The sequence below is a fragment of the Homo sapiens genome, chromosome 3, assembly GCF_000001405.40.
Source record: "Homo sapiens chromosome 3, GRCh38.p14 Primary Assembly".
NCBI lineage: Eukaryota > Metazoa > Chordata > Mammalia > Primates > Hominidae > Homo > Homo sapiens.
The window spans coordinates 115,151,543-115,161,603 of NC_000003.12; the positions used below are offsets into that span (position 1 = coordinate 115,151,543).

General features: G+C 38.8%; 2 annotated features.

Annotated features, from left to right (window-relative positions):
• Positions 8,830 to 9,049: an enhancer, noted in NCBI's record as "active region_20282". NCBI's record gives its function as "activates an Ori minimal core promoter by ATAC-STARR-seq in GM12878 lymphoblastoid cells {active_cell/tissue: GM12878}" and the evidence as "EXISTENCE:reporter gene assay evidence [ECO:0000049][PMID:35858748]".
• Positions 9,090 to 9,159: an enhancer, noted in NCBI's record as "active region_20283". NCBI's record gives its function as "activates an Ori minimal core promoter by ATAC-STARR-seq in GM12878 lymphoblastoid cells {active_cell/tissue: GM12878}" and the evidence as "EXISTENCE:reporter gene assay evidence [ECO:0000049][PMID:35858748]".

A 10,061-nucleotide genomic window follows, 5' to 3' on the forward strand; every position in this document is an offset into this window, starting at 1 on the left:
ACACCCACATTTTCATTTCCATTCAGTTTTCTCTTCTACACCAAGCCATTGATTTACATGGGAAATTCACATCAGAACCAAGATCGGTTTCAAACAAACCCTCACTCACATAATGAGAATATAATGGAATTGACTGAAGAATGAGATGTTATAGAAAGGAAAATAGGAGAAAAGGAAAAAGAAAAGATGAAATTTATTAATGGTGAGGTATACTGATTAGATGAACGGAACATGGAAACAGAACAGAACCCAGAAATCAGTTCATGCATAAATGTCAGTTTGGTTATGTTACAGATTGGCAACACAGATTACTGGGAGAAAAGAGACTATTCAATACGTGGTATTGGGGAAATGGAAGAACAAAGAACTTGGATCTTTAGTTTATACAGCATACACAAATCAATTTTAGGTACTTTAGGAACTAGATTATGTGTTCAATCTGTAAATAGAAGGTAGGAACTGTAATTAGTAGTTCTACTGGAATTACATAAGTGGATTTGGGGAGGAGCAGTCCGTGAAAGGAGCACAGGATAAATAAAACAAATGTCCAGCATAACAAAGGCCCAGGGACTTTCTTAAGACCCAGCTGTGCCTAAGACCAGCTGTAACCCCTGTAATTCCTATTACCACAAGCCAATGACATTTCTTTCAGTTGGTTAGGATTGTTTGAATTGGGTTTGTATCACTTGGAATTTGACATTTGTAAGTCTTAGTTGATGTCTATAAATAATTGTACAGTTTTATTTACGTAGATGTACAGTGTTTCAAAATCATTATAAATGTTTTACAGTTTTTTTTTACACAATTGTAAAAAGGAGATTTTTTCCATTACATTTTCTCTTACTGCTCCTGTGTGAGAAAACTTATTTTTACATAAAAATTTTGTATCCATACATCTTTATGAACTTTTATTACTTATCATTTATTAGTTGATTCTCTTGGTTGTTGACATCCATTTTGTCTCCTAATGGTGATAGTTTTTTTCTCTCTTTTCAGTGTTTGTTACCTATTGTTTTTTTTCTTATTTTGTTGGTGATATGGTTTGGCTGTCTGTCCCCACTCCAATCTCATCTGGTAACTCCCATACTTCACACGTGTTATGGGAGGTAGCCGGTGGGAGATGATTGAATCATTGGGGTGGGTCTTTTCCCTGCTGTTCTCATGATAGTGAATGGGTCTCACAAGATCCAATGGTGTCAAAAATGGGAGTTTCTCTGCACAAGCTCTCTCTTTGCCTACAGCCATCCATGTAAGATGTTACTTACTCCTCCTTGCCTTCCACCATGATTGTGAGGCCTCCCCAGCCATGTGGAACTGTAAGTCTCATTAAACCTTTTTCTTTGGTAAATTGCAGAGTCTTGGGTATGTCTTTATCAGCAGCATGGAAACGGACTAATACAGTTGGCCAGAACTGCAGAGTATTGACTAGTATTTATGGGAGTATGCATCTTTGTCTTATTTCTGAATTTTTGATATCACATCTCTAAGTAGTTTTTGGCTGAAAATTTGATTAAAAGTTTCTATATATTCACAGCTTGCATTGTATTTTAAAAATTACCAATGAATATTAAATTTTATCAAATACTTTTTCTAAATGTATAAAATAAACATAATTATTATTTATTCTGTTAATAGACTGAATTATAATGATAGATTTACTGATGAACCATCCTTCCATTCCTAGATAAAACTCTTTAGTTTTATTACTATTTTAATGAGTATGTGTTTAATTTACTAATATTTTTATTTTGGAATTTGCTGACTTTATAAGTGAGATTGAGTTCCTAAGTGGGATGGACCTGTGCAATCTTCATCCAATTTTGGGATTTGTATTAGGCTAGCTTCATAGAATTAGTCAGGAGAATTTTGTCATGTACAGTGCTCTCGAGCTGATAAAGCTCATCTGTAAAACCATCTTGGCCAATGGGCTTTCTTCTTTTTTTTTTTTTTTTTTTTTTTTTTTAAGATACATCTTGTCTTCTTAATTCTATAGTTTTTGGTCACCGTAATTTTCAATCTCTTTCTGAGTCCTTTTAATCATTTAATTTTTCTTAGAAACATATTCCTTTTTTTCTAGATTGTCAAATTTATTTATATAAAATCTGCATAGTTATTTTAGTTATAAATCACTTTTTAAAAAGTGACCATAATTGGTGTCTATAACAGTACTATATTTCCTTGTGAGCAGATTATTTTATTTTTGTACTTGTTTATATAATTGTATTTGCAACAATTTTGTGTTGTTTGGCTTTTGATGTTTTAGCTACATGCATCTGAATCCTATTCCTACATTTGGGGAATTTTCAAATTTTGTACCTTATCTATTGCTGCACTCCAAACCACTCCAAAACAACAGCCATTTTATATGTTCCTGATTATCCAAGTTAGTAGTTTGGGCTAGGTTCAGCTGAGTGGTCCTTCTACTCTTGCCACTTATGAATTTGAGCCTTTGTTCCAGATCACACAAGCATCAAAAGTTTCACTTGTTCCTCTTTATGCTATTGGAGTCCCTCTGTTTATGGCAAGCCTTACCCTCAGTCCCTGCACAGACTCAACAGATACTCCCCCAGGGAAAAAAGTAGTTGAAAAATTCAGCTTACCCAGGAAAAGCGCTTATCTGTCTGGTGTGTTAGTTCATCAATTTCTTTGACTCTAACGCTCCTGCTTCTCTGTTATGAAGATCCTTGTGATTACATTAGGCCCGCCTGGATAATCCAGGATATTTTCCCCATTTCAAGATCCTTAACTTATTCACATCTGCACAGTCCCTTTTAGCATGTAACACATTCACAGGTTCCAAGGATTCAAATGTTGACATCTTTTGAGGGAGAGGGCTATTATTCAGCGTACCACGGAAGGCCTGTTACCACTCTTATTATTACACTCTCAAAAAGCCCAAGGAATACCGGGCCATCATTTTTTAAATTGGACTTAATTTTCTAGACACAAGTCCCTACGTCTTAACAACAATCCTTGGGTATATCTTTCTTATATTGCAATTCTATAACCCAAGGACTGAACTACTGAATTTCTGTAACTGAAGGATTTCTGGACTTTTTCTTAATGTGTACGTCTTTGAGGGTTGGTGTGGATGAAGCAGGGATGGCAAATAGTATTTGTACATTACTATATGCTTTTAAGAAAGCAGGCCACAATTTTTCAAAGTCATGCTACAAGTTTCAGCGTGGAAAGAGCTCCATTTATCAAAGATTTATTACATATTTCTCACACATGAATGGAAAATTCTCGTCAAAAATTTCAGCCAGGAAGCTAGGGTTAGAGGAAAAGCAATGAACTCCACCAAGGTCCTTCTTTGTCTCCCTGCAGTAAGCCCTTTCTCTAACAAAGAGCTATTTTATTGATTTATTTATTTTTGTCTATTTGTAATTGACAGAAAGGAGCAAAAAGACCTTTGCTAACTTGTTTTGTTTTTAAGAATGTGGATCTACATTATGACAGAGGTCACTAACTTTCCAACCCATGTCAAAAGCAGATCATGCCTCTAGTTAAAGAAATACTAAACATCACCACCTGGTAGGGGAAAACATAAAGGAAATTTAAGAGACTAGTTCCTTTTTGCAAACTGTATACCCAAGATGATGTGTGCAGAAAATTAACCTGCTCTGTGTTAAATCTCCAGAGAAGATTTGTTTAAAATCTCTTTTAGTAACTCCAGTGTTTTTTCAACATCTTAGAATTTCAGTGTTTCCAGGTTTGTGAAATGCCCCTGGGTGAATGATATTCTAAATGCCAAGGACACTGAAAGTTTCAAAACAGGTTGCCTTCCTGAGATCCAAATTTAAATAACCATCCTCATAAAAATCTTTGGAAAATACTGAAGCTACAAAGGAAAATAATAATAAACTTTTAAGTTTGAGGATTCGACATTTTGAGAAAATATATATGATGACTATTTATAACACCTTTTGCAGGTATACAATAAATTTGTTGGTTTAAGAATATACAAGTATATTATGTTTAACTTGGTTTTATTGGCATATTTAGAGAGATCATAAACCCCCCAAAATTGAAAAAAGGTATCCTTCCAGTTTTAAAACAAGGTCACCATGAAAAATATTTCCCTTGCCTTCTAATTTTACTATTTCCTCCAAGCTTTCATAGATTATACTCTTTGCAAATAATATTCAAAATTGTGAGGCTGCAGCGCTGTCATTTTGAATGGAAAATATTCACTGGATCCATACACGTTTGTTATTTTGGCCAGTACTGATGAATTATAAGTCGGAAGACTGGTTTTGGAGCCCAGAGTTTTAAAAATGTCCAAGGATTTTATTGAAAAACTAATATTACTGAAAGTATATAAGAAGTAGTAAGTATGTAAGTAAGAAAGTATGTGAGAAGTAAGCACTTGTACTGGTTATTTTACTAGAAAGGTGTCCTGATCCAGACTCGAAAGAGGGTTATTGGATTTTATGCAAGAAAGAATTCAGGTGCGTTCACAGAATAAAGTGAAAGCAAGTGTATTAAGAAAATAAAGGAATAAAAGAAGGGCTGCTGCTTCATAGAATATCCCCCAGGGGCTACTGGTGGCCATTTTTATGGTTATTTCTTTATTATATGCTAAACAAGGGGTGGATTATTTATGAGTTTCCCAGGAAAGGGGCAGGGATTTCCTGGAACTGAGGGTTAGAACATATATGATATCTTTCAGACATTACCATGACATTTGTAAAGTGTCATAGTGCTGGCCAGAGTGTCTTTTAGCATGCTAATACATTATAATTAACATAATGAGCAGTGAGGATGACCGGAGGTCACTTTCATTATCATCTGGGATTTGGCAGGTTTTGGCTGGCTTCTTTACTGCATCCTGTTTTATCAATGCGGTCTTTGTGACCTGTATCATGTGCCGGCCTTCTATCTCATCCTGTGACTAAGAATGCCTAACCTGCTGGAAATGCAGCCCAGCCCGTCTCAGCTTCATTGTACCCAGCCCTGATTCAAGATGGAGCTGCTCTGGTTCAAAAGCTTCTGAGAGTTATATTTTTAGGAAATTGGGATGATTTTGATCTGAGGGACAAGCAAAGGAGTGGTTCCTTACAAAAAACAGATTCAGGAGTATATAAATAATCAGAGCCCTTCCTGCCTCTTCTACTTCTTTTCAATCCTCAGACATTTTAGTGTCCCCCCCATCAGTAGCGTAAGACAGGTGATATGGTTTGACTGTCTGCTCCTAAATCTCATCTTGAATTTTAGTTCCCATAAACCCATTATGTCATGGGAGGGACCCAGTGGGAGGTAATTGAATCATTGGGCTGGTTATCCCCATGCTGTTCTTGTGATAGTGAGTTCTCATGAGATCTGTTGGTTTTATAAGGGGCTCTTCCCCCCTTTGGTTGGCACTTCACTCCTCCGCTGCCCTGTGAAGAGGTGCCTTTTGCCATGATTCTGAGTTACCTCAGGCCTCCCTAGCCACATGGAACTGTGTGTCAACCTCTTTCCTTTATAAATTCCCCAGTCACAGGTATGTCTTTATGAGCAGCATGAAAATGAATGAATACAGTAAATTTGTACCGAGGTAATGGGGTGCTGCTATAAAGATACCCAAAAATGTGGAAGTGACTTTGAAACTGGGTAACGGGCAGAGGTTGGAACAGTTTGGAGGGCTCAGAAGACAGGAAAATGTGGGAAAGTTTGGAACTTCCTAGAGACTTAGAGGGTTCAGAAGACAAGAAGATGTGGGAAGGTTTGGAATTTCCTAGAGACTTGTTAAATGGCTTTAACCAAAATGCTGATAGTGATCCAGACAATGAAGTCCAGTCTAAGGTGGTCTCAGATGGAGATGAGGAACTTGTTGGGAACTGGAGGAAGGTGACTCTTGCTATGCTTTAGCAAAGAGACTGGTGGCCTTTTGCCCCCACCCTAGAGATCTGTGGAACTTTGAACTTGAGAGAGATGATTTAGGGTATTTGGCAGAAGAAATTTCCAAGTGGCAAAGTGTTCAAGAGGAAGCAGACCATAAAAGTTTGGAAAATTTGCAGCTTGATGATGTGATAGAAAAGAAAAACTCACTTTCTGGTGAGAAATTCAAGCTGGCTGCATAAATTTCCATAAGCAATGAGGATCTCAATGTTAATCACCGAGACAATGGGGAAAATGTCTCCAGGGCAAGTCTGAGACCTTTGCGTAGCCCCTTCCATGACAGGCCTGGAAACCTAGGAGAGAAATATGGCTTCCTGGGCCAGGCCCAGAGTCCCCCTGCTCTGTGCAGCCTCCAGACATGGTGCCCTGCATCCCAGCTGCTTCAGCTCCATCTGTGGCTATAAGGGACCAAGGTATACCTCAGGCCATTGCTTCAGAGGGTGCAAGCCTCAAGCCTTGGCAGCTTACACATGGTGTTGGGCCCACAGGTGCACAGAAGTCAAGAATTAGGATGGGGAACCTCCACCTAGATTTCAGAGGATGCATGGAAATACCTGGATGTCCAGGCAGAGGTATGCTGCAGGGGTGGAGCCTTCATGGAGAACCTCTGCTAGGGCAGTGCAGAGGGAAATGTAGGGTGGGAGCCACCACACAGAGTCCCCACTGGGGCACTGCCTAGTGGAGCTGTGAGAAGAGGGCTACCGTCCTTCAGACCCCAGAGTAGTAGATCCACTGACAGATTGCCCCACATGCCTGGAAAAGCCACAGACACTCAATGCCAGCCTGTAAAAGCAGCCCGGAGGAGGGCTGTACCCTGCAAAGCCACAGGGGCAGAGTTGCCCAAGGCCATGGGAGACCACCTCTTGCATCAGCATCATCTGGATGTGAGACATGGAGTGAAAGGAGATCATTTTAAAACTTTAAGGTTTAATGACTGCCCTATTGGATTTCTGACTTGCATAGGGCCTGTAGCCCCTTTGTTTTGGCCAATTTCTCCCATTTGGAACAGGTGTATTTACTCAATGCCTATACCCTCACTCTATGTAGGAAGTAACTAACTTGCTTTCAATTTTCCAGGCTCGTAGGCAGAAGGGACTTACCTTGTCTCAGATGAGACTTTGGACTTGAATTTTTTGGTTAATACTGGAATAAGCTAAGACTTTGTGGGGACTGTTGGAAAAGCATGATTGTATTTTGAAATGTGAGGATGTCAGATTTGGGAGGAGCCAGGGGTGGAATGATATGGTTTGGCTGCGTCCCCACCCAAATCTTATCTAGAATTATAGTTCCCATAATCCCCGTGTGTCATGGGAGTGATCCAGTGGGAGGTAATTGAATCATGGGTGGGGGGGTGTGCGGTTACTGCCATGCTGTTCTCATGATACTGAATGAGTTTTCACAAGATCTGATGGTTTTATAATAGGCTCTTCCCCCTTCACTTGGCACTTCTCTCTCTTGCTGCCCTGTGAAGAGGTGCCTTCCACCACGATTGTAAGTTTCTTGAGGCCTTCCCAGCCATGTGGAGTCAATTAAACCTGTCTTCTTTATAAATTACCTAGTCTTGGGTATTTCTTCACTGCAGTGTGAAAGGGTCCCCAACCCCTGGGCTGAGGACTGGTACTGGTCCATGACCTGTTAGGAACTGGGCTGCACAAGCAGGAGGTGAACAGTGGGTGATTGCGCATTATCTCTGAGCTCCACCTTCTTTCAGATTAGCAGCAACCTTAGATTCTCATAGAAGCATGAACCCTATTGTGAACTGCACATGCAAGAGATCAAGGTTGCCTGCTCCTTATGAAAAATCTAATGCCTGATGATCTGAGGTGGAACAGCTTCATCCTGGAACCATCCTCCCACCCCTCTCCCTGTCCATGAAAAAACTGTCTTCCACAAAACTGGTCCCTGGTGCCAAAAATGTTGGGGACTACTGGTGTAAGAGATCTAGAACATACATATGCCAGAAGTAAATTTGATTTCCTCCGTAGAGATAGAAGACCAAAGGAAAGTGATGAAAGACCAGAGACCCAATTGCTGATTCTCGTTATCAGCACCTTGATTTACTTTGATGTATACATAGTGGATGGGTGCTTGCTTTTTTGTTTATACTATAATGTAATATAACACTTTGATTTGGTGAGAATGCAGAGCACATATCTTAAAATTTTCACTTCAATACATTATTATTTGCATTTATATAAGATGACAAGTATGATTTTTATATGGTATAAATATTTTTTCAAAAAAGTCTTTTTTCTATTCTACCTTATGGCCAATAGAAGTCTGAACTGTAACCTTAAGTTATTTATGTAGTGAACAAATATTTTCTGGGAACTTCTTTTTTTTTTTTTTTTTTTTTTTGAGATGGAGTCTTGCTGTGTCGCCAGGCTGGAGTGCAGTGGCACTATCTCAGCTCACTGCAACCTCCACCTCCTGGGTTCAAGTGACTGTCCTGCCTAAGCCTCCGGAGTAGCTGGGATTACAGGTATGCATCACCACACCCAGCTAATTTTTGTATTTTTAGTAGAGACAGGGTTTCAACACGTTGGCCAGGATGGTCTCGATCTCCTGACCTCGTGATCTGCCCACCTTGGCCTCCCAAAGTGCTGGGATTACAGGCATGAGCCACCGTGCCTGACCGGGAATTTCTTAATTTCACTAAATATTTAGTGTATAATGACAAATTAGTCAGGGTGCTCGCCCTTTTGGATCACATGGTCTACTGAAAGAAATGTGATTATTATAGTCTAATAAGGGCCATGATGGAGGTATGTTTTAATACCTAACATTTATTGAATGCTTACTCAGTGCCTAGGTTCTACATATATGATTAATTCTTACAATTACTTTATGAGTTAGATACAATTACTGTCTCCATTAATGCAAATGAGAAACTGAGGCTTAGAGAGATTAAAAGCATAGAGAATTTGAGTAATGTCAAATAATTTACTATGACTGACATTTAGATTATGGTAGAGGTATCCTTTATTGTGGAATGGAATTGACTCATGAGATTAGTTTTCATAGGCTAGTTGAAATATCACCTAATATAGCTAATCTCTGTTTCAATTTCAGTTTTAATCATCACACTGTGGTCTGCTTGTCTGACTCCCTTGATACAATGTGCTGCCCATTCGTTAGGGCCTGAGAGTGGCAGCAGCAGAGGCCAAGGGAGGTATGGAGAGGGTAAGAAAACTCTTAAGAAAACAGGAGCTAAAGTTCCTGTAACAATAATAGATGCATGGAAGAAAAGAAAAGCCTAAAGTAGGATCCTCCCATGAAGAAAGCAAAGAGAGGAGATTTCTTAAAACAATAACAACAAGGTAAAAAATGAAGCCACAGGGATGCCAAACCCCTTTGCCATATTGGAAGTTTTAGCCCTTAACATTGGAACCCAGCAATGCTTTTAACCTTGATCTACATAATCTTTCTTCATTTCATGGTTTTGGTGAAAGAGGAAGCCTCAAGCCTCCTTTGAAGCCTGCAATGTAGTACAAATAATAATCATCCTATGGAAGCATATAGAATAGGCATTAACTAGGTATTAAGGGTGACAGAATTAATTTATTTAAGCCATTTTCAAACTTTCTCTATTTTTTTAGTCAATACTATCATTTAAAGTAGTGAATTGGTGATTTGGGCTGAATAATAAATTTAGTTTTTCTGACTAGTGGCTATATTACACTCAATTTAGTTCTGAACGACCATTATATTTATTTCTTTGTTTTATTTTCAAATCTAGTTCCCATGGTGGTCCCCTTTTACTGAGAAAATAATCAGATAATCATTTCAGAGCCACTAAATTGTACAAACCAGAAACACTATTGAATTAGTCAGGACTCCACATTTGCAAGTAGAAGAAACCCAACTCAGATTAATTTAAATAAGAAAGGATACTGCATTAATTTACAGTGAAGAAGGGACCTCCAGTGATGTCACCAGCAATCAATCTATCCTGCTTTCTTTCCCAGTGCTGCTTTGCTTCACTTCGACTTTATTCTCCGGTGAGCACTCGCCATGTAATGGCAAAGATGTTAATGAAAACTTTAGGCATATATTACATGATCTTCATCACAAACTCTTTAAATAATAAATGTATTGGTTCACATAACAGCTAAAAATCCAGATGTAGTGAAGCTTTGGATGTGGTTTGATCAAACTCTCTGGGATTCTCTTAGCTC